General features: G+C 44.9%; 2 long non-coding RNA genes and 1 pseudogene across 3 annotated transcripts in view, besides 1 other annotated feature; 1 reads left to right on the top strand and 2 right to left on the bottom strand.

Moving 5' to 3' along the window:
* The window catches only part of LOC105374642 (uncharacterized), a 41,400-nt gene extending 35,478 nt beyond the window's left edge, over window positions 1–5,922 (bottom strand). For both annotated transcript variants that reach the window (NR_188250.1, NR_188251.1), the window contains exon 1: window positions 5,639–5,922. This is a non-coding gene — a long non-coding RNA (uncharacterized LOC105374642). The remainder of the gene's footprint in view (window positions 1–5,638) is intronic.
* Window positions 4,181–4,419, top strand: RN7SKP79 (RN7SK pseudogene 79; annotated as a pseudogene).
* A 10,986-nt stretch (window positions 5,923–16,908) lies between the features above and the next one.
* LOC105374641 (uncharacterized) lies at window positions 16,909–22,880 on the bottom strand. The gene is made up of 3 exons (XR_925740.3): window positions 22,833–22,880; window positions 20,345–20,421; window positions 16,909–19,652 (listed from the first exon to the last, which is right to left on the bottom strand). It is a non-coding gene; the product is annotated as an uncharacterized LOC105374641 (long non-coding RNA).
* Window positions 21,814–22,315: an enhancer, noted in NCBI's record as "H3K4me1 hESC enhancer chr5:6830441-6830942 (GRCh37/hg19 assembly coordinates)". NCBI's record gives its function as "activates a minimal SCP1, AML or CMV promoter by ChIP-STARR-seq in naive H9 embryonic stem cells {active_cell/tissue: H9 hESC(naive)}" and the evidence as "EXISTENCE:reporter gene assay evidence [ECO:0000049][PMID:30033119]".

Below are 24,491 nucleotides of genomic sequence, written 5' to 3'. Positions count from 1 at the left end.
CTGACTCTGAACCCACTTCCACCTCTGTGCCCCTCAAACATACACCTTGTGCAAATCGGTATTTTACTTCTACACAGGAAAAGAAGTAACAACCCAGGATGAGAACACTTGCCCAGATAATCCAGGCTGATCCCCTCTTCTCTAGGTTCTTAATTGTATCTTCAAAGAGTCCTTTTCTAAATAAAGTCACATTCACAGGCTCCACAGGAACACATCTTTTTTTGGTGGGGGTTGAGGAGGGAAAGTAGCATGGAGGGATGGACACGAGGCCTTCCATAGCTCTGCAGAAGGTATGGCCTGCTTATTTGGGGCTATCTCTTAATTTAAGGCAAACCAACAACAGAAGAAACACTTCACTGCCCCCTGTATGTTCTCAGTGTCTGAATTCAGATGACGACAAATGAGGAGGAGCCCTCTGTGTTCCTCATTCTCTTAACTTTAAAATAGGCCCCAGCTACTAAGAAGGAGCATGCAGGAATAAGAAATTACACTCCTAAAATTCTAAATGCACTGTGGACGTCACTTAAAGTAGAATAGACAGTCCCTTCTTGATTTCTCTGCTTTTCCTGCTGAGGCCCCAGGCCACAGACAGCAGCCAAGCTTCTAAAGAGACCTCTACCCTTCTTCTAACCTTGTCTTTACTAGAGGCAAGAGGAAAGAATACAGAGAGGAGAAAGGAAGCCTCTGTATGTGAGAACTCACACTGAAACTCTGCAGTGCTCCCTGAAGTCTGTAGCATCAAGGATGGTACAAAGATATGCACAGCCTAGAGAATCAATTATGTACAGACCCAAAATGGACATATGACATTGAACCAGAATTAAGAATATGGATCTCATGGGTCTCATGGACTACTTCAAACAAAGCTCAAAAATGTTTTAACAAATATCCAGAGATCTGTTTCACGGATTCTGGATTTTAATTTCTAAAGTTTGCATAATTGAAAAAATTAGAAATATCCTGTCTTGGTGCTCTTCAGTGGGAAATCCCAAATAAGTGAGTTTCTCATTAAAAGATAATCTTGCCTTGCATTTTCATTATAAGTAAAATTCAGATCCTCTTTATTCATTAGTTTCCTAAAACTGGTATTTCCATTAAACCACTGAGAAAAAATACACTAAGAGTGTTTGCTGTGTTACTCCCTAAGGGGCTTGGCATTTTCCAGCCTAGGGTGCATCATCTTTCCTGGTCTTCCTCATCCAGTATGAGTGCAGGAGGCTGCTCTGCAAAGCCCCACAGCTGAATGGCGTACCGCAGAAATACAGCTGACATGTTGCTTCTTTTCCCAGCTCTTCTATTTGCTCTTGGCACTTGGGGCCCAGCTTGGGCACAGAGCTCCACTTCCCCAGCCCCACTTGGCTGATCAATGAGGCTGTTTGGAGGATTATGTTGAGAAAACACATAGCAAGTCAGCCCTGGAGTCAGAGGGACTGCTGTTCCAGGTCCAGCCCCGTTCCCTTCCAACTGTGACCTTGGAGCAGCGGTGAAGTCTCTCCAAGCCTCGCATTCCTAATCTGAAACACATCCCTGCTCTCTCTTAGGGTGATTATGAATTGATGCAGGTGAAACTCTTAGAACAGTGCTGGGAGCTCAGCAAACCTCCTCACCTCCTACACATGCCATGTGTGTTTCTGTCCACACACCCTTCTCTCCTGGGAGAACTCTCTTCCCACCCTGACCCCATCTCCATCATCCAAGTATCCTTGAAAACGCTGCTTCTCAGAGATACCTCCCAGGATGATCCAATCAGACTCTCCTCCCCATACCTCATCCTTCTTATCCTGCCGCGCTGGTCTATTTTCTTTATTGGCATCTGAAATTACTTTAATGATTTGTTTTTTATATATTTGTGGTCTGTCTTGGCTCCACATCTTTGTCCATCATTGCTGTCCACCCAGCACCCAGCAGGGTCCGTGGTGGCCACATTCTTTGCTGAGTAAATGAATGAAGGAGCCGAGGCGTGTGCCTGCTTGAGACTCCTCTGGACCTTGACCCTTCCACCACATCTGTTCTGACTTAACTCCAGGTCACAGTGATGCCTCCTTCCTCTGCAGTTTTTTGATATTTAGCCTTAACACTCTGCATGTGATTCTCTTTCTAACCGGATCACCAGTTTCATGAGTTCAGTGGAGTTTTAGTCCTCTCTCCATATCTAATCCTGGGCTTCATGCCTTGGACCCAGGAAGCTCAGATGAGGGCTGCTAAGGGGGATGCACATTGCTTCTTTGTTCCTGAAATCATGGTCAGCAATGGCTGTGGGGATTCAGCACTGCAACCCCCCTCCCGGTGGGGGATCACTTTGAGCAGTGTAGAAAGAAGGAGACCCTGACCCCACCCACAGTCTGTCCCCACTCTGACTCCCAACCCTGTGCCCACTGCCTTCGTAGGAAACACAGTTCTCGGGGTTACTTGCCTTACTTACGCCACTCCCCAGAGTGACTCACACCATCATCTGTCCTTTGCTCTAGGCGCCCCTCCCCCACAGGCCTCCCCCATCCTTGCCAAACACCCCCACGAGCCTCTTCCCTCAAGGTCTACTGAAGACCCACCTTCTAGAAGAATCTCACACACAATGCCTTTCTCCCTCAAGCAGTGGCTTGGCTTCCTCCTGCAAGCCATCAGCCATGGGTTGCCACTGAATGACTTATGTCTGTGACTCTCCTCTCCCAGCAGGACTGCAAACCCTGGAGATCTGTGCACCCCTCACCATGCACCACGAAACACACCAAGGAGAGCCAAATACATGATTGGTGCTTTGTGCTCTGTGCATTGGTTTCCTTGATAATTGCATCCTTTCGCCTAAGAGGTAAAGATCACTCACTTCCTCCCAGTTCATTTTGTCTGCTGAATAATTCTCACCAGCAGTGAGTCACACTTCTCACCATGCACAGCACAGCACAGCGTCCTGCGTGTGCCTGCTGCAGAGGCTCCTGATCAATATGGAAGACACTCAGCCTTGAGCCTAGTGATAGGAGAGAAAGACTTCAAGCTGCACATTTGAGAAATAAATTAGCACTTAAAGGCATGTTAATCTACCCTTCACTAATGTATTCCACGTTACTTTTCTGACCCACCATTTTGTCAGGAGGTTCTGTAATTTATGTTCTGTGGCAGCTTGCAAACCTTCTCTTGACCTTAGCGTAAATCAGAGAACTGTAAAACTGCCTTTGGAGAACAAACGGAAATGCAATTGAAACTCTTTTGCAGGGAGGCCTAAAAAATGGAAACCTCCCGCATTAAATGTAATGGAAAAATGATTTGATCTTTAGTCACCCTGTCATTTAGGAATCAAATCTTTCTGAAAAAAAAAAGTCAATATGGTTTGAAGAAAATCATTTCCTAATTGACTTCTGCTGAAAATGGAGATGACCATGCAGGCAAACTCATGTTTATTTTAACTCCAGACAATGCAAACACTGAAGCTGTCCATGCAGCACCTGGAGCTAAGATTTACCTGGAACCAACACATCTTTTACTCCAAGTATCTTGGAGGCCACATGACACAATTAGTCTTTTATTTTTTCTTTATGATGAAGAACCATCGTCATTTCTCTCTCACTCTCCTCTCTTGCTGTCTGCAAAGTATCCTAAAATATATGATCTTCTGTCTTAAACATTCCGTTTTTTCAACTCCACTCCTATTTGCCCCTATTCCCCCTCCCCTTGGCTTTTCTCCTCATTATTCTTGTAACCAGGACAAGCCACATAACTTTCGGGTCTCCATGCAAAATGAAAATTGGAGCCTCTTATTCAAAAATTATGAAGAATTTCAAGTTAGCAAAGACTAAATGTGGCTTGGGCCCTTTGAACAGGAGCCCTAAGTGACTGCACAGGTCACACTGCAGGAACCCAGCCCGCCCTTGATCCAGGAGACCCTTGGCTGTGCCTACGCACCTAGACTCCTGCTCTTCCCCCACTGCACGTTTTTGCTGAGCAAGTCTTGGCAAGAGATGAAGACAGAAGTGCAGTTCATCAGCGGGCACAGGGCCCTTCCTTCCCTTCCAGCCAAAATGAGGGGGCCCAGAATCGGCAGAACAGCTCCTCAAAGAGAAGATCCCCATGTCCTGAGACACATTCTCAAGCAGGACAAATATGTTCATGTCCGCATTACTGGGTCTATGTCTCATTGAACTTTGAAACACACTTTAGACATGAACAAGCACTTCTCAAAAGGAGACCTGGATGTGAGGGCGATCTGGCTGCGACATCTGTCACCCCATTGATTGCCAGGGTTGGTTCGGCTGATCTGGCTGGCTAGGCGGGTGTCCCCTTCCTCCCTCACTGCTCCATGTGCGTCCCTCCTGAAGCTGTGTGCTCGGTCGAAGAGGACGACCATACCCGATAGAGGAGGACTGGTCTTCAGTCAAGGGTATACGAGTAGCTGCGCTCCCCTGCTAGAACCTCCAAAGAAGCTCTCAAAAGAAGACCTACAAACAGCCAACAAATGTGAGAAAGAGCTCAACATCACAAATCATCAGAGAAATGCAAATCAAAACCACAATGAGATACCATCTCTCACCTGTCAGCATGGCTATTATTAAGAAGTCAAAAAACAACAGATGCTGGCAAGGCTGCGGAGAAAGGAAACGCTTATACTCTGTTGGTGGGAATGCAAATTAGTTCAACCATTGTGGAAAGCAGTGTGGAGATTTCTCAAAGAGCTAAGAACAGAACTATCATTCAACCCAGCAATCCCATTGCTGGGTATATACCCAAAGAAAATAAATCGTTCTTCCAAAAAGACACAGGCACTTCTGTGTTCATCGCAGCACTACTCCCAGTAGCAAAGACATGGAATCAACCCAGGTGTCCATCAGCAATGGACTGGATAAAGAAAATGTGGTACATACACAGCATGGCATTATACACAGCCATAAAAAGGAATGAAATCATATCCTTTGCAGAAACATGGATACAGCTGGAGGCCATTATCCTAAGTGAATTAACATAGAAATAGAAAATCACATACCACATGTCCTCACTTACAAGTGGGAGCTAAACATTGAGTACCCATGGACATAAAGAGGGGGACAGTAGACACTGTGGACTATTGGAAGGAGCAAAGGTTGGAAAACTAAATCTTGGGTACTTATACTCAGTACCTGGATGATAGGATCCTTCATACACCAAACCTCAGCATCACGCAATACACCCACGTAACAAACCTGCACATGTATCCCCTGAATCTAAAATAAAAGTTGAAATTATAAAAAATTTTAAAAATCAAAACACTTTAGCTCTTCAATATCCAATTCTATCTTAGCTCAGTTCAGCAAAACCATCCACTGAATAGAAACTGTGGAGTAGGTTTACAGTCAAATCTTCTATGATTCAAGACATTTGGCCAAAACCTTCTCTTGGAGTTGTGTCCACCGTTCTGTTTTTATACCCAGTCTTGGGACAGGTGCAATCTTGGTCTCTGGCTGGCTGCCTTTGCGGCCCACCCTGAGATCCAAAAGCCATGTGTTAAAAAGGCTTTCCTCCATGCTTGGCCTTTTAAAGTTCAGTGTTAACGCTGCCTTGGAGATAAATGCCTTCAGACTCTGTTCCCAGAAAATTGAACTTTAAAATTCCCGGAGACTGGCACTGCCCCTAAAATAGTTTCATGCCACTATTACCAGAGATAAAAAGATCGCACCTCTGTGATGAAGCTGCCACGGCTGCCCCCGGCACTTCCCCATCCGGGCCTCTGGCCTCTTCACTATGGATTGCATGACTCAGGGAACAGCAAAGGGTGAGAAGAGAAAAGGTGGAGAACGGCCCAGGAAGGGGCCAGGGAGCCCCAGGGCTTCACATGTAAACATACGGCCATTCTGACTCTGTGAGAGTACAGGGAAGCCCTGAATCCAAAAGGCAAAAGCTCATTCCTGGGCTCTGGCATCAGAAGCCCTGGGCACGCCCTGCGCCGGGCGCGGTGGCTCACGCCTGTAATCCCAGCACTTTGGGAGGCCGAGGCGGGCGGATCAAGAGGTCACGAGATCGAGACCACGGTGAAACCCCGTCTCTACTAAAAATACAAAAAATTAGCCGGGCGTGGTGGCGGGCGCCTGTAGTCCCAGCTACTCTGGAGGCTGAGGCAGGAGAATGGCGGGAACCCGGAAGGCGGAGCTTGCAGTGAGCCGAGGTTGCGCCACTGCACTCCAGCCTGGGCGACAGAGAATGGAGTGAACACGGAAGGCGGAGCTTGCAGTGAGCCGAGATTGCGCCACTGCACTCCAGCCTGGGCCACAGAGAATGGAGTGAACACGGAAGGCGGAGCTTGCAGTGAGCCGGGGTTGCGCCAGGGCACTCAAGCCTGGGCGACAGAGCGAGACTCCGTCTCAAAAAAAAAAAAAAAAAGCCCTGGGCGCGCTCTGGGGACCCAAGGCTTCGGGGGTGGAGGGGAGGGGGGACCCTTCTAGACGCTCCGGACGAACCCAAGGCCTCGGGGCTTGGGGGGAGGGGGGACTGCAAACCTTCTAGAAGCTCCGGACGAACCCAAGGCCTCGGGGGTGGCGGGGAGGGGGGACTGCAAACCTTCCAGGCGCTCCGGACGAACCCAAGGCCTCGGGGGTTAGAGGGGAGGGAGGACTGCAAACCTTCGAGGCGCTCCGGCTCCTTTGGGCTTCACTCCATTGAAATGGCAAGTTTGGTGATTCCCCTTTTATCAGATGTGTCCAGCACCGTAGGCTGCCTCGCTGGCTGGGCCCAGTTTCATTGCTTCTTTTAAAATATTAGGTTCAATGTGTGCCCTTCTTTCCTCTCTCCTCACTAGCCATTTTCCTATCACAAAACCACCCTGCAAATCCTAAGAAAATGCAAGTAAATTGCTGCTAACATCCCCAGTTGTCTATTTGCAGGGGAACAACAAATAAGTTCTATTCTCCTTGAATAAGCAGCGAATTAGCAAATGTCTTTCTCTGTCATAAACATTGGCTGAAAACAGCCCCTGGTGATGGCATAAAAGGTGCAGAACAGCTATTTTTAACCAACAAATGAGAGCAGTAGCATCTAATTTTGGACAGCTGCTCCGTCTTGATGCTGGGGGCTGACTCTTTGTGAATGGAAGGAAAATGCAAAGGGAAATTTTTTCCTAGTGTGGCCCCCACCAGCAAGTGTAAAACGTACTCAGAAAGAGCCAGTGTTGAAGGCATAAGCCGCAGTCATCTGTCTCCTTATGCCAGGAGGTCATGGTAGTGCTATTGGTGGGCTCTCCAGCCTTTGTCCCCAGTGTTCCAGAAGAGGGAATGTGGATGCTGGGAGGACCTGCCTCTGGAGAAACCCAGGCCACCAGCAGGTGGACCCTGAAGTGGGAGGACAAGGACGGATGGGAAACCAAATTTCCTGTAAGATTAATTGGTGCCAAACCCCCATATGATGAGATACTAGGCCTTTAAATGTTTTAACCGAATGATCTGACATATGAATTTTTCAATGAGTTTAATAAAATATAAAGAGGTGACATTGACAGAGTTGCAAATAATAGAAACTGTTGTTTCCCAAAGGCAAACCCACAGTTGTCCAAAGAGCACCATAAGCATGTATTTTACAGCATCAGATAAGTGTCTGGCTTCCTCCTTTCAGCTGACTGAGGCCTCTCTCCTATGAGGAAGAAGCTTTGAGTCCTGGCCATTCAGCATCTGCCTTGTAATGAGGGAAAAACCAAGAACCAAAAGGAATTAAGAGACTAGGGGGAAAGGAAAACCTTTTTCAGCCTGACTCCCTTGCTAAGTCCCTCACTTACAGTATTTTAGCTACCTGGATGTCGCATGATATGTGATCTGACAGATCTATAATGAAAACAGAGACACTAGGGAACAATGTGATTGGAGGAACGTAATTACGGAATGTGGAACAGCTTTCCATGGGCCCTGGTGTGTCTGCAAGGCAGTGTCTGCCATTCCTCTGGGTCATTGTCAAGGACAGTGATCAGCCTTGGAGAACTGAGGTCATGTCTCCCTCCTCAGCAAAGACAGGCATTGTTAGAAGATTTGGCTTCCCTGTGTTCAGGGTTGGTCTCCTGTAACAAAACCTGCTGCATGTGAAAGTGTCACTGTGCCCTCCTTAGGATCATCTTGTGGGAATCAGATGCTGATACTCTGACCATTGCCATTGCCATGAGCAATGAACTGTCCTTTTCTTCTGACCCAGGAGTTTCATGTCTTCCACTAGCATCCATGAAACTCTGACAAGCTAACATTTTAGCTTACAAGAAGGACAAGATCTTGGACCATGGACAGTTCTTGCCACTGAATTTAGATAACAATGACTGACAATTTTGAACAATGTGCTCTCAGGTATGTAAATGATACTTCAGGGTTAACCTTTAGGCAGAGACTACGAATATCTCCTTAATATCTGTTTTCTTCTTTTTCCTATCAGAATGGAACTGGGCATTTTGATAGGAGTTTCTATTCTCCAGAATAGAAACTGCATTTTCCAGTTCCCCTTGTAGATAGGTGTGCTCTATGTGACTAAGTTCCAGCCCATGGGATGTCAGAGAAGTGTGCAGAGACGGCTTCTCAGGGCATTCTGTAGGAAAGTTGGCATGCACATTTGTGCCTTCCTCAACCTCTTGCTCCATCCGTCCGCTAGCAGCATGGACAGGATGGCCGAGGGTACACCGGGGCTGGGAAGATGAGGGCCGTGCTTGGCAGCTCGACAAGATCCCTGCTGTGATGAAGAGCCAGTGCTGGCCAGGACTTACACATGAAATAGAAATCTTGTTCAAGCACTGTCATTTCGAGTTTTCTGTTTTCAGCAGCTGAAGCTAATCCCTAACTGGTACAGTGCTTGATGCCAAAAGTGGAATGCTGCAAGGAAAGGACCAACATGTGGAGCAAGTTGCTCAGTGCCATTCCAGCTGGCCTGGCCAGACAGACCATCACCCCGTCCGTCCTCTTCCTTTTTAGCCTCTCTCCACACTGACTGTTCTCAAGCCCCCTTGCAGCCCTTGAGCTGCCCACAGCTAGCCCTGCTAGCCCTGGTCCAGGTTCACAATAGCTCTAGACCTTCCTATACACAGAGACCGCCCCATCCCCACAAGGTACATGTGAAGGCCAGGTCTTGAGAAGAGCAGCTTTCAGTCTCCTGCTGCTGCTGCTTGAAAGGACCTAAAAGTGAGTCAGTCTGGAAACATACTCTCATAGGTGTCTCATCCTCTCATAGGTGTCTGACTTAGGGCATGACCCTCTCTGGTGTGTCTTGAGGCACAGTTAGGTGGAAGAAATGGGTCAAGGTAAGAAACCTCCCCCATTGCCTCTAAGAATCACCCCAGGGACAACTGAATAGATGGCCCATGTCCAACACCAGCCAGGGGTACGACTGGCCAACTCTGTCCCAGTGCAGCCGTATTCACTAAAATAATGAATGCCTTACCAGAACAGACATTCTGAAATCTAAAAGTGAGTTTTAGTAGAGTGGCATCAACAAAATTACCATTTTTTTAACCCACCCATTTATCCACATCACAGGCTGAACAACATGCCACATTCCATCTGCATCTGGTCATTTATTCACTTGCTCACTTAACACACATGTATTGAGCTTATTGAGCACCTAGAGTATAACAGACCCTACTACATACAGAGACTAGAAAGATGAATTTAGTGAGATTCATACCCTGAAGGGGTACAGAATCTAGTGAGCCTCAGGCTTGGCAAGGACAGAAACTCAAACATGATTATTCAGAGACAATCACTTACATTGAAAAAAGAAGATGGGAGTGAAGATGAACCCCTAACCCATGGGAGAGATTTCTAAAAGAAATCATCCTGTTCTGTGATAATAACATATACTTTCTCAAAACAAGTCATTTGTGAGCTCTAGTGGTAGGAGAGAAATGTCTATTAAATACTTTTAAAGTTAACATTCCCAAGTGTCTGTCTACTGAAAATCCAATCAGAAAATAAAAAATGATGTGTCTGTGTGCTTATATACCTACAGTTGCATGATATTTCAGTTATGAATGCTTTAGGCTGCAAGTAAGAGACAAACTCAGCCAATAATACCATTTAAAAACACAGACTTATGGTGAAATCTGATTTAGGTCTTCAACTGAGCTAATAGGGTTGTGCCAATATCAATGGCCTAGTTTTGACAGTGTACTATGGCTAAGGAAGATTATAGGGAAAAGATGGGGAAATGACATGTAGGAACTTTCTGTATCATTTTTGCAACTTCTTTTAAGACTTAAACTATTTCAAAATGAAAAGTGTTAAAAAATTATTAACATAATTTAGATATCTCACCCGATTTACTAAAACTTGACAGGATGTTTTGGTTGTTAAACATAAGTAACCCCAAAATAGTAAAGTTACAGGGAAGTCAGTATCTGTGGAGAGACACGCAGGCTACTGGGCATAGCAAGTCACCTACGTGAGACTTTCCCACTCTGCTGAGGTCATTTGGTGAAGTGCCTAAATAAAACATAAGAACCATCGTTTACAATAATTCCATTAGAATTATAACACTTGAATTTCCATGTAAAAACACCAACGACCAGCAGGACCAATTTTTATAGGGCAATCTTGGTGAACAAGGCTGTAAATAACATGGAAAAAGAGTGGGGAAGAGTTTCTCTGACTGAAGCCCTCAGTTGTGAGATGCTAGAGTAATGGAAAGGGGTGGAGGTCAGAGACCCCAGTGAGGGGGTTCTCATAATCTTAGTCCAATCACGCTTGAAGGTGGCATCCTTGGAACTATAGAAAAATGTCACCATGTCAATGATCCCCATGCTAAAGTCACAGCCAATGTTAATGAAGAACATCCTTCCAGGCACTATTTTTTTATTTTTTTGAGATGGAGTCTCACACTGTTGCCCAGACTGGAGTGCAGTGGCGTGATCTCGGCTCCCTGCAACCTCCACTTCCTGGGTTCAAGCGATTCTCGAAGGCACATTTATTAAAGTGTATTGCCACTTCTACTCACTGCTTTTGCCCAAGTCCTGTAGATATTAACATGTTCTGAATTCCTCTGCCAGTGACCAGCCCTTTTATTTTTCCTGTCTTTAAGAATACACAACAAATGCAAGCCAAACAAGTGCTTAGTAGCTGTGGTTTGAATGTTGCCCCCTCTAACCCTCATGTTGAAATTTGATTCCCAGTGTTGGAGGCAGAGCCTAATGAGAGGTATTTGGATCGGGGGCAGATTTCTCCTGAATGTGTTGGTGCTGTTCTCGCAGTAATGAGTGACTTCTTGCTCTATTAGTTCCCAAAAGAGTGGTTGTTAAAAAGAGCCTGGCACCTCCACTCTCTCCCTCTTGCTCCCTTTCTTGCCATGTGATCTCTGTATACGCCATCTCCCCTTTGCCTTTAACCATGAGTGGTAGCAGCCTGAGGCCTCACCAGAGACTCAGTTTTCCAGTCAGCAGAATCATGAGCCAAATAAACCATATATATATATATATATCCAAATATATCTCCATATATATATCTATATATATATATGGAGATAGATAGATATATATCTATATATATATATATCCCAGCCTCATGTATCACTTTATTGCAACACAAAAGGACTAAGACATTATTCGAGCATTGAAGATACAGGTTTAACTATAAATTTGCCCAATAAACATAGTGTAGATTAATGAACATGTTCATCAAACCTTCTTTATGAAAAAAAATGACTTCACAATCCAGGTCAGGCAAATTTTTGGTAATGAAAAATATTTTTCAAAGGCTGATATTATTGTGTAATATAATCAATGCAATTATTTGAAAGGGAGGAAAATAAAAATCTACAAATAAAGAATAGATTTAACAGTGACAGTATCTAAGAATTATACTCCGATATTTACCACTAATTCTGATTCCTTATGCCTAAAAGAAATAAACACTTGTGGGCAAATTTTCAGAAAAGTCTTCCTGAAGAGCAATTTTGCAGCAGTGTTTGGATTCATTTTCAGCCAGCCAAAAGCAGTCGGGGAAAGTCATAAAACAACACCCCAGAAGATCTTTCAGGGCTGAAGCATGCCTCATGGAGGCTCAGCAAGCAGTGCCTGTAATAATTACCAATCTCAGACATGCTAACCCCATTAAGACTAGTCGTTTCAGTGCATAAATGACAGGCTGTGCAAACCTCCAGCTCCCAGGACCAGGGGATTAAAGGTTTCCTTAATGCTTTTATCAGCTCTAATTATTAGTAGTTCTTGGCTTCAATGATTTAGAGCCTTAACACAGCAAATCTTCATTAGGCAGGAGAGTCAAAGTACTCCTCTCTAAATCCATTCCCAAAGCCAGCCTGACTCTCTCTCAAGGTGAACTGTGCCGAAGACAGAGAGATTCAGCACATTCAGGAGGGGCTCCTCCATTGCCTAAATGTATTTCATCCTCTGGGCACAGCCGCTGGTGACAGCCATAATTTGTGGGGCTGAGCTAAAGCTGCTGCTTCTCCAGAAAAGTCCCAGGGGCCCTCACACAAGGGACGCTTCTTATTATCATCAAGGGGACCCAAGCCACTGCCAGACACATCCGCGACAAGAGTGAAGTCACTTGTGTCTACTGGGAGGCCAGAGGAAGCAGATACTTAGAGATACTACATTTGGGTCAAAACTGCTTGGTAGACCTCTTGGCAGGAATAAATGACACTGTAATAGTCTAAAGATGTCGAAAAGCTTCCTGAATCATTTTTTAAAACATAGATTTAAATGCTGCAAATTTTCAATTATCTCTGCTAATGCTTGTGTAGAGAGGCACAAAGAATTCAAAACTGAAGATGATAAAGGGTGGTTTGTATTTGGTCTGGAAAGTAATTTACATTTACATGTGGTTAAGAGCAAGTCCTAATTCTGAGAGTGTTTAACAGCGCTGAGCAAAGGGCGAAGAGCTTGAGGATCCTTCCTGCCCTCACACAGCATCCTGAAAGTGAATTGCATTTTCTCCTACGCTGGACAACTTCTGAAACCCTGGCCTTCAAGCGACATCATAGTTCTGAATGCTCACATATTGATTCAGAGGGCTCACAACAGAACAGGAAAGAAGATGGCTGGGTATTTACATAGGGCAAAGAGGTTTATGGCTCACATACCTGCATTTTAGGGAGCCTCTGCACATTCACCACTGAGGGAAACCTTTCATTTATCTCCTTGATTTTTCTGCAAAACCTTCTCAGGGTATTCACTTCAGTCAAAATGCACCATGTAGAGTCGGGGAGTGCATGCCACAGAGCCTGCCTCTAAGCCTCCACTCCGGGAAGAAGCTTGCGTCTGAACAGAAACGAAACACCTCTCACCAAATGATTTGAAAGAGTCAGGAAAAGGACAAATGCTTCTGTCGACATCACTCATGTGGTCTTCAGCATGTTCCTCGTGGGTCTGGTGGAAGGGCAGAGCTATTTTCTGACAATTCAGAGTTCTTGAATTTCCTGAGTTTATTTTTCAAGTTGATAGGGAGACACATAATCTCTCTTGTGCAGGGATCAGTTTAGCCTGCCAGTAAGAAATTCTACTGTAAGATGGTGCACATGAAATCAAATGTCAATGTTCATCTGGAATCCTTAGGTCACATGGCCAAGTTCAAGAGGGAGCAGCCGGGATGAGCACAATCGCCCGGGGGAGCCCTCCCTCACCAGTTAGTGGCCCTGGTGGTGCCTTGCCCTCTTCCAGAAGATAACAGATGAGCTGAGCGATTCCTAAAAGTGATTTCACTACCTCTTTCTTATCTTATCCTGCAGTTGCTGGAAGAGCCGCTTTCCTGCCCCTTTAAAAAATAACCAGCTCAAACAATCCCGCAGTTAGAAACTTTCAGACCAATCACTATCTCCATTCATATCCTCAGCAAATCCAGCTGGTGTTATCTTTAATACACATCCAGAGCCTGCCTGCTTCTCAGCATCTCCACTGCTTCCACCATGGGCCAAGCCACTATTGTCCCCCACCTCCTTCCAGGAGCCCCTGCTCCCAGCCCTGACCCATGACAGCCAAGTCTCCCACCACAGCAGCTGCAGAGATCCTGTTAAAATATGGAGATAATTCTACCACTCCTCTGCTGAAAAACTTCCAGTGGCTTCTGTTTTCCTCACAGTAAAAGTTAGTGTTCCTCTAATGGTCTACAAGGATTCTTAAGTCCTGTTGACAACGCAAACATATACATATGCATGCAGAAATATGCCTATGGACACACTGCACACACGTGCACATGTTCTCATAGTTGCATTGTTTATAATACAACTATGCTTGCCATGCTGCAGTATAAGCTATGCATTATAAACTATATTTATAATGCATAAATGCTTGTGTTCACATCCATGTGCACGTAGCCATGTTCACATGTGCACACACACGCATACACTCACACAGGTGCACATATGCATACACATGCCTCCACTCACACACCTGCACAACTGCTTGTACACACATTTACATGCATTTACGTAAATGTGCACACATGCATACACACATTGTCATACATGCACATACATGCACATATTCACACACACATGCACACACTCTTCAGGCCTGCTACCTCTGTGACCTCATCTCTCCCATGTTCACTACACCCCAGTCACTCTGGCTCTCTTGCTTACCTTTGTAACACCAGGAATGCTCCCACCACAGGGCCTTGGTACGTGCTTCTCCCTCACTGCTGTCAGGCCTATATGTCCAGGAGTCTTTCCCTGCCCCCACGGAGTCTACACTGAAACTTTCCATGCACTCCCAACCACTTCCTTTGTTTCATTTCCCACCTTAGCAGTCATCACCACCCACATCTGTGCATTGCACTTATTTGTTGAGTTGACATGTCTCCTCTGGCAAGAATGCAAGCCCTTGGGGGGCAAGGATTTTGGTCTTCTTTACTGCTTACTGAATGCTCACTCTTACACTCTGTGGTGTTGACTAAAATATTGTCTTATAGCCACAAATTCACCCTTCAATGCCTGTTTGTGATCCTGGCTCTGGGTCCTGCAAACGTTCCTCCTTCACCCGCTGGTGCGGTGCTGAGTTTTGTCAGCAGAGGGCGCTGGAGGACACTGCGGGAGCCAGATTTCCCTCTCAATTTTGATGGGCTACAGACCCTTCTTGGCCTGCTGATCTCCAGCCCATTTATCCATCCCATCCCATCTTCACCCTCCGTGGCTCATTCCAGAGATGGTGACCTAAGGCAGGTAAATCAGATAAAGCGAACATGGCACACTTCCCAGAACTGTAGAAATGCAGCATATAATTACTGTCCACACTGAAAAGAAAAGGTCACCCCCAAAAAATAACAGTTATACAAATATAAATATAACCATTAATATTGGTTAGCACTGGGTGTGGAACTGAGAGAAGAGGATGATTCTTATTTTTGTCAGAATATATCTATATTTCTCTGATGGTTTACCAGGAGCAGTTGCTCTGTCTGGCCACAGCCATGAAAGTGCACTGTTGTCTTTTACACTCAGACTTTGGGTCCAGCTGTGTTTGCAGCACCCCAGCCCCCATAGCAGCTGCCAATCTGGGGGAGATGGAGGTGAGTGAGCACTGCTGCCTTAGGGCCCAGGCCCCCTGGGTTTCCATAAGCAATCCCCAGCCTCCCTGACTCCAGCCAGCTCCAGGCACACTCCTCAGGCCACGCTGCGAAGGTGGGTGCAAAAGTCCTCAGTCACCTGCCACACCAAGTGCCACACAGCCAGACCCACCCAGCACAAGGCAGAGACACACCAGCCACTCATTGCCATGGGCCACGTTGTCCTCAACTTTGTCCAAACACCACACACACACTCACCCCCTCTCTAGAGTCATTTGCCTTTTGCTTCACATCCTTTCTTCTCTGCACTGCTGCCTCTGAGAAACGCTGAGTCCTTCTTCAGTCCATGTTTTCTGTATCTAGAGGCTTCCCTTGGTAGGCAAGTAGGGCAAAGAGCTGGGAAGCATGGCAGTATGCCAAGGTTTTCAGTATTTAAAGACCAGGGTCAGGTCAAGATGGCCAAGGGGTATCCTGGACATTGTCCAGTGGTCATGGCCCAATCTCCTTCAAATTACAACACAAATATAGCTATATAAGTGATTAAAAATTTAAGGAAGTCATAGCCATGGAATTTTTTAATTCTTCAATAAAAGTATTCTCAACAGTATCACTTTTTGGAAAGGATAACTCAATAGCTCCATATACTTAAATATCATCTACATGAGGCTTTTCTTTTCAACCCATCACACAAAGAATTGCTCCTGGCCAAAACTTCCTAGGCCTTGTCTAATGGTACCTGCGTCATCATGCTCTTACGTCAGAATACCAGGAAATTGAATTTTAGACCTGGTGTATTGTCACAAGAGAAATGTTAGCTACAGATGAGGATGTTCAGAGAAAGTGGTGCCTCTGGGGCTTTGACAGTTTGCAAACAAGATTTTTCAACTTATCTTTAAAGAAAAATTTTCTAGCACCAGAACAGCCTGGGTAAGAAGTTCAGAGAGTTCCAGGAGCTCCCAGAATGAGGGGCCACATCCTGCAGCATCCGCATCACACAGGGACATGGAACCACCTTCATCTCCCTCTTGAGGAATCTTGAAATAGTCCAGGCAGAATACAGCAAGCCTCAGAAGGCTATTTTCAATTTATATATATTATATATAATATTTATTTATAAAATATTATATATAATATATATAAATAAAATATATATTATATATTATATATAATATATAAATAAAATATATATTATATAATATTATATATCATATATTATATATAATCTATATATGTGTCACAGATTTGGGAAATCTGATCTAAATAGAAATAAGATGTCTTAAGTGACTTATGCCAGGTCTTCGCTTGCAAAGACTCAAAACCAACTAAATATCACCTTCATTCAATTGCTGACATGCAAAGGCCAACATATGCTGATTAAACAACCCCCAAAATATAATTAATAAATTGAACTAAGTGGTGTAGACAGGTGCGTTAGTCCATTTTGCATTGCTATAAAGGAATACCTGAGACTGGGTAATTTATAGAGAAAAGAGGTTTATTTGGCTCACGGTTCTGCAGGCTGTACAAGCCGGGCACAAACATCTGTTCGTCTTCTGGTGTGGAAGCTTTTACTCAGGGCAGAAGGCAAAGGGGAAGCTGGCGTGTCACATGGCAAGAGAGGGAGCAAGAGAAATACCAGGCTCTTTTAAACAACCAGCTCTTGAATGAATTAAGAATGAGAACTCATTCATTACTGGGAGGACAGCACCAAGCCACTCATATGAGATCCACTCCAATGACCTATGATTAATTTTGAATAAAATTGTACATTTTATAAAATTATTGGTCAATATTCCAAAAGGGACTCTACAGTGCTTTGCTTCTAATTCCCCGTCTGCACCCCAGCATGAATACAAAAGATAGCATACTGAAGGAACATCTCCAGTCTTGGAGTCCTATGTATTGTTCTTCCTCAGTTTGTGTGCTAGGAGAATCCTTGAGTTTGGTGGGTCCTTCCAACTTCCTTGTGTCATGCTTGACATTTGGGGTTGATGGCCTGTTTATTTCTGGCGTGGGACAATTTATCCAAATTAGTCCAGGCTAGCATGGCTGTCCTGAGTAACTGCTCTTCTCCTACTGATAATAAAATGAATTGTGTCAGCATCATGAAACGTGGGCACCAGAATCACCGACACCCAAGAAGATACAAGCAACCCTCGAAGGAGGGGTTGGCACATGATGTTTAAGAAACTCTACTTGCTGAGAAATAACCATGTCTTTTTCTCAAATTTTCATTTGTGAGTCCTCTAGACATAAATGTCATGGGTTAGCAAATCCTTTCTCTTTTCTTTCATTTTTTTCACTTCATTTCATTTCTTTTTTTTTTCCAGCACTCTCTCTGCAATATACAATTTAGAAGTCAAGGTGGGGATATAGGGTTCATCTTGTTAAAATCCTCATTGTGAGTTGGGGTGCTAGTGGCCAGAGAGATTGAGAGGCCTCCTTCAAGTGGCAGGAGAGGGCCTGGAGATGCTGTCTTGCCTGTCAAATGAGCTCTCACTCAGTGGGAAGGCCAGGAGAGGGCCATGATGAGTGCTCATTGACAGGCACCGTGGAAACCATGAGGATAGAAGCACTTGTGGTTTGTCGCCACGTTTTGCTTTTATAGGTTTGTTTTATTTTACACATGCAAATGGATGGCCCCGTTACCTGCTTCCCATGAGACAGAGACAGGAACATGACAAAATCATCATCCTGGGAACAAATAAGGTGCATCATAATACTTGCAAGTTATCTAACTTGTCCTTCATGAGCAGGAGTACACACACCTACACTTTCACATTTCACATTTCACCGCTGTTGTCAGAGACAGAACATAATTGATTAGAAGAAATTCCTGTTAACACACAATCAGTCCATCCTATGGATCCATGATATTCACAATTACGTTAACTTGTACATGTAATGATCTAATTGCCAAAAACTTCTATAGGGCTTACTATGTGCCAGGAATGACCCCAGGGTCCTTACTGACTTAACTTACTCAATCCTCACAACTGCCCTATGAACAGCTGCAGTTATCTCCCCTCTCTTATGGCTGAGGAAAGCGAGGGGCACAAAGGGGCTAAGGAACACACCCAAGGCCATACAGTAGGTAACTGGCAGAGTGACACCCTCATACTGGTGGATGAGTATTACCTGGTCTGTCATGGCCTTCAGGTTAGTGACCCAGACAGGAAATCTGAGACAAGGAACTCTAATATCTGCCTGGCCAGTCAGGCTGTAGCTCCGGGGCACACTTTTGCAGCAGGAGATGGAGCTGTTTGAGGCCGGGGGCATGAAGGCTCAGCTTTTGCCACAAGAAGCAGAATAGATTTCTTAGGGCCTCACTCTTCCCATCTGATGTGCTGCTTATTTCCTGTGGCTCATGGTGGCACATGGTGGCACACAGGCAGACCAGAGCCACCAGCTAGGACTTGCCCAGACTCTTAGGTTCCCATCCAGGTCTGGGGATGAGGGCCACTGCCAGAGTCCCCTGGGCTGTCTCCTTGTTCCCTGTCCTCCCTAAGCCAGTGTGAGGCAGTAATGTGCCCTCTTCCTGCCCTGTGAGGCGGCATGGGGTGGGAGGCTCCCTGGCTCTGGGGGACTGGACTGGCACACTGCCTCTCAGAGATGCCTGTCTGAGACACACCCCTCTGCCAGCAGACCCTGGAGCTGTGGCACTGCCCTAGCATTTGACTCAGGAATGTTTCCTCTTCCAGCTCACAGAGAAACTCTCTGTGGTCCACATTTACCTTAAATATAAGAAAATCAACTTGTCATTGGACTTATAGAAATATACACATGTTTGAAAGGGTTTGAGACACGCTAGGAGGTTTCTAAGGAGGCTTTGGGATCAACAACCAAGAGTAAGCACTGAAGATGCTTTGACTGCTTTGAGCCACCCCCTGGCTTCCTTTGGCTGGAGTCAGCCTTCTGTCCGGAAGGGCAGGCCCTGTGCCATGGCATCCTAACCACATCCTCACCAACTGGAGTCTGTTTCCATTAAAATGAAGTAATTAAAAATAACAGGAAAGGCTTTCTATTTATAGATGGTTTCATAGACACTTTTAAAAATACAACCTGAATTTGGCTCCAGTAATTGGCATTGGTTCTTTCAGGTTCTACGTGGATTTTATTTTTAGTGGTGCAGAATGATTTCTGAAGCATTCAGCTGTAATAACAGAAGAGGGCAACAGATGGTTTTGTGAAACATCAGGCTCCTTATTTTGAAGAGAATGGCTGCAAGGAAAAGGAAGGTTCTCTTTAGCTGTGATACTCATTCTCTTAGAGGTAACGTTTGTTCATGAATTTTCTATTAGTGATTTAAGGCATTTTCCAGAGATTGAGTGTTTGTCATTGCTCACACTAATCTTTGCAGAAACTTTGAGATAATTTCTCTCTTTTTATTTTTATGTCATAGATAGGAAAACTGAGTCATGGTGAGACAGGATAGGAATCAAAACTGTGTGGAAGGTTGCAATCAATACCTGTCCACCATGCTATGCTAGTGGGTCATTAATGACTGAGGTAAGAAACGCTGCATTTCTTGACAGCATTTGCTTCTGCGTTCACCCTTATAGTCTGGAATCGCCTTAATTTTAGAGGATTCTTGGCTATTTCACTTCCTAGATAAGACCAAGGTTAGTTTGGGGTTGATTTTTGTGCCAATTCTTACAATAGAGTGGACCTTTCCTTTCTTAGTGCCTTGCAGGTGCATATACTAAATCAATAAAAGTCATTTTTATGGGAAGGCAAACAGAGAAATGTGGTGTAGGGAGAGACTAAAGGGAAAGGAAAGGCATTTTGTGTCAAGCCTTTTTTTAAAGCCCAGGGTAAAACAATAGACAGTGTTGTTTAGTGTGAAATGGCAAAAACCAACCAACCAACCAACAAACAAACAACCCATCAAAAAACAAAGATAAAAATGGTACCCAAAGTGTAGACTAGGGTGATACGCTGGATTCACTCAGTGGTCCATGAGGGCATTCAACTTGTGAAGGTGAGATGGCTGTACGAGAAGAAAAGAAATGTTGTTCATTTTCATGGTCTTGAATACTAGGAAGTTACTAACCACAGCTTGAGATCTTTGAGTCCACCTGCTCTTACTTCTCCTCTGACAATAAAGGCTTTCTTTCTTGTCTCTCTTCTTACACACAGACACACACACACACACACACACACACACGTGCACATATATTTATATATAGGGAGACAGAGAGATTGTAAGGAATTTGTTGGAGATTTGATGAGTCCAAAATCTGGTAGAGTAGACTGCCAGGCTGGAGGTACTCCAGAAAGAGTTGCAGCTGGAGTCCAAAGGCCACCTGCTGGCAGAATTCCTTCGTGCTTGGGGGACCTCCGTCTTTGTCCTATTCCAGCCTTCAGCTGGTGGGATGAGGCTCACCCACATTAGGGAGGGAATCTGATTTACTCAGAGTGCACCTGTTTAAATGTTTACCTCATTCAAAAAACACCAAACACAGAAACATCCACAGCCATGTTTGACCAAATATCTGGGCACTGGGACCCAACTAAGTTGACACATGAAATTAACCATCACATACTTAGTTAGAAATAAGGGTGATTATGATGGGGAGTTCGAGGGTGTGACTGACCTCCAGGAGATCTGAGAGGGCCAGGGACCTTGGCATCCTCCAGGAGACCCAGAATGAGCCTGCAACAATATTTAATTGCATTTCAGCTCATTGAAAACTGGCTCAAAGAGAACAAAATGATGGCAAAGGGTGTTTCATCGTCTGAGGTGTGTGCATATCATTTTACCATTTTGTCATGTTATGGGGTTGGGGGGAGGTGTGTAAACCTGCCCTTGCTGGCAAATGGAAGTTCAAAGACAGTGGGCATAATTTTCTTGCCTTGGAGATCAAGGAATTATGTGTTGAGTGTATGGAGTCACAAGATGGAAGCTCCCAGAGTCTTCTGTCTATGCAAGTGAGGAAGCAATTGTTGCTGTATTAAGCCACTGAGATTTCAAGACATAGCCTATTTTGTTATGACTCAGACACTGTGCAAGCTGTGTGTGCATGAATGTGCCTGTGTGTGCATGCATGTGTGTGTGCATGGTGGTGCATGTGAGAGTGTTCCTGTATGTGCATGCATGTGTGTGTGCATGGTGCATGCAAGTGTGAGAGTGTGCCTGTGTGTGCATGGTGTGTGCACGTGTGAGAGTGTGCCTGTATGTGCGTGCATGTGTGTGTGCATGGTGCGTGCACGTGTGAGAGTGTGCCTGTGTGTGCGTGCATGTGTGTTTGCATGGTGCATGCATGTGTAAGAATGTGTCTGTGTGTGCGTGTGCATGTGTGCATGCATGGTGCATGCATGTGTGAGTGTGCCTGCATGTGCATGCGTGTGTGTGCACATGGTGCGTACATGAGTGTCTGTGTGTGTGTGTGCATGTGTGTGCATGGTGCGTGCACGTGTGTATGTGTGCATGCGTGTGTGCATGGTGCGTGCATGTGTGAGTGTGTGTGTGCGTGCTTGTGTGTGCATGATGCGTGCATGTGTGTGTCTGTGCGTGCATGTGTGTGCATGGTGCATGCATGTGTGTGTGTGCATGCATGTGTGCATGGTGCATGCAGGTGTGTGTCTGTGTGTGCATGCATGCGTGCATGGTGCATGCATGTGTGTCTGTGTGTGCGTGCATGTGTGTGTGTGCATGGTGCATGCATGTGTGTGCATGCCCGTGTGCACATGCGAGTGTCCGTGTGTACATGTATCTGATTATGGAAAGTCTACCTGAAAACCTGTGCGCTAGAGCTTAGCCAGAACCACTTCATACAATGATTCTAATGCTAGGGAAAAACCCATTTGCTGTCATTTTGGTTCTCTTTGAGCCAGTTTAATGAGCTGAAATATAATGAAGTTTTGTTATGGGCTTATCTGGGGTCTCCTGGAGGGTGCCAAGGGTCCTTTCTTACTCTGGGCTCCCTGGAGTTCAGTCACACCAACTGAGGAGCCCATCCTCTCTGGCTCTAGCGTGCCTGGGTCCCTTCTTTGGGGAATTCTCTTCCTAATCCATTTGTCCGTGGGACTGGCAGTTACCTCTCCCTGGTATTGTGTTGAGTTCATAACAGGCTGAGGAAATAGCACCAGAGCACCCATAGCACTCACTCTCGGAGGGCATTTGACCACCACTGGGAGGTCACTGGAGCAGCTCCCTGGACTTTTCCCTGGAGTTGGATGGGAAGGCGAGCTTACTCTCATGATTTGACCTACCAGCTTCTAGGGTAGGGCTGTCAGAAGCAACTTTTACCACCTGAACATTGTTTCATTGTAGTGAGGAACAATGAGACTGACCTGAAAAGCAGAATGGAGATGGCAGAGACATGAGGTGGCAAGGGATGGAGGGGGCATCCTGAGGACAGTGCTTTAGTCTCTGGGCTCAGCTCTTGGGACACTCACCTTGGTCGTCCCACTTAGGCGAGCTTCAGTTAGTCAATGTTGGGTTTCTGTCACTTGCCAGGAGCCTTGGCATTTAAGGCAGAATTTGTTTACTCTTAAATTAAGCAGCTCTACAAGTTTCATTTCATTTCATTGCTCATGATTTTCATCCCAGTTTCACTTCATTGCTCTGCTCTCTCAGGATGAGTCGTTGGCAGGGGAGAACTCTCCTTTCTGTAGTGGAATGAGTCAGTGTGGTGCCTGGATTGGCCCAACCGAGTGTGGGAGCAGATGCTCTCACTTGGACTGTACATCATCTTGAGTAGGTCAGTCAGCCTCCTGTGCCTCAGTTTCTCTATGTCCACAATGAGAATGTTAGCACCTTTCTCCTAGGTTCATCGTGTTGACTAGCTGGGCTAGTGTTCTAAAGCCCTTCAAACAGTTCCAGACACACAGTCAGTTCTGCTTCATTAGTAGCTGCTATCATTATGGTTTCCACGACAACATGCCATCTGACCCTATTTATGCCATCCTCCCTGGCCTGGGAGCCAAGGTCACGGTAGAACACCTGATGAGTCATGCCTAAGTTTTTGGCATCTTTAACCAAGACAGAGATCAGTAATCAAAAGTAAAAGTATTCAGTAAAACAGATGAATCCACATACCATTTTTGAATGTTGAAATATGTTCATCAGAACAACTTTAAAGGTAAATTGGGTCGAGAGCATGATTTAGTACAAAGGTCAGTAAAGTATGGCCCATGGGTCAAATCCAGCTGTCACCTGTTTTTATAGAACCCATGAGCTAAGAATCATTCTTACACTGTTAAATGGTTGAAAAAAAAAATCAAAAGAATGTTAACATTTTGTGACATGTGAAAATTATGTGAAATTGACATGTGCATATGCATGAAGTGTATTAGAACACAGCTGCCCCCTCTGCTTGCATCTCGTCTCTTGCTGCTTTTGGGCTACGATGGCAGAGCTGGGTTGAATTGTGGCCCACGGTGCAGAAAATATTTACTTTCCGCCCCTTTTACAGAAATGTTTGTTAACCACAATTTAACTCTTTTTAGCTTAATTCTTAATTTTCCTTTGTCCCTCTAAAATTTCAGACTTTCAGGAATTGAGGGGTAAACTTGAAACACGGGTTTGTAAGTGAGGACACTACAGCGCTGGCTTCATATAAGACATACAGGCAAACTCATGATCCTCACTCATTTCATTTCAGATGAAAACTGCTTTCCAGTGACAATCAGAAGGGGAAAGGTTGAACTGTCATTTTTCTGAGAAAAATAACATGGAATAAAAGGGCCTACATTCTCTTTCCTACATTCTCATCATTCTACAGTTATTTGGGGTTTTTATCTCTCCCACTTGATGTATATATTCATAAAACCTCAGGAAGAAACATGATCAAAAGTAAAACTGAAAGGAAAAAAACATAAAAATGTTCCTTGGTTTTGTTATGTTTTCGTCAAACTCAACGTTTAGTGAGTTGTTTTTATTTTCCTTTCCAATTGTATTTATAGGCTTCGCTCTTCTCCCTGATTTTTTTTTTTTTTTGCCTTTTTGCAAAACATTCCCTGGAGGAACAGCATGAATCAAGACAAGCTCTTTATCTTCTGCTGATTTATATAAAAATAGACAGCATGCATGGGCTTTTGCATGCTGTTTCATGA

This window comes from Homo sapiens, chromosome 5 (assembly GCF_000001405.40).
Source record: "Homo sapiens chromosome 5, GRCh38.p14 Primary Assembly".
Lineage (NCBI taxonomy): Eukaryota > Metazoa > Chordata > Mammalia > Primates > Hominidae > Homo > Homo sapiens.
Note: the sequence above shows the minus strand (reverse complement) of the source record. Positions and strands in the feature narration are given on the sequence as shown.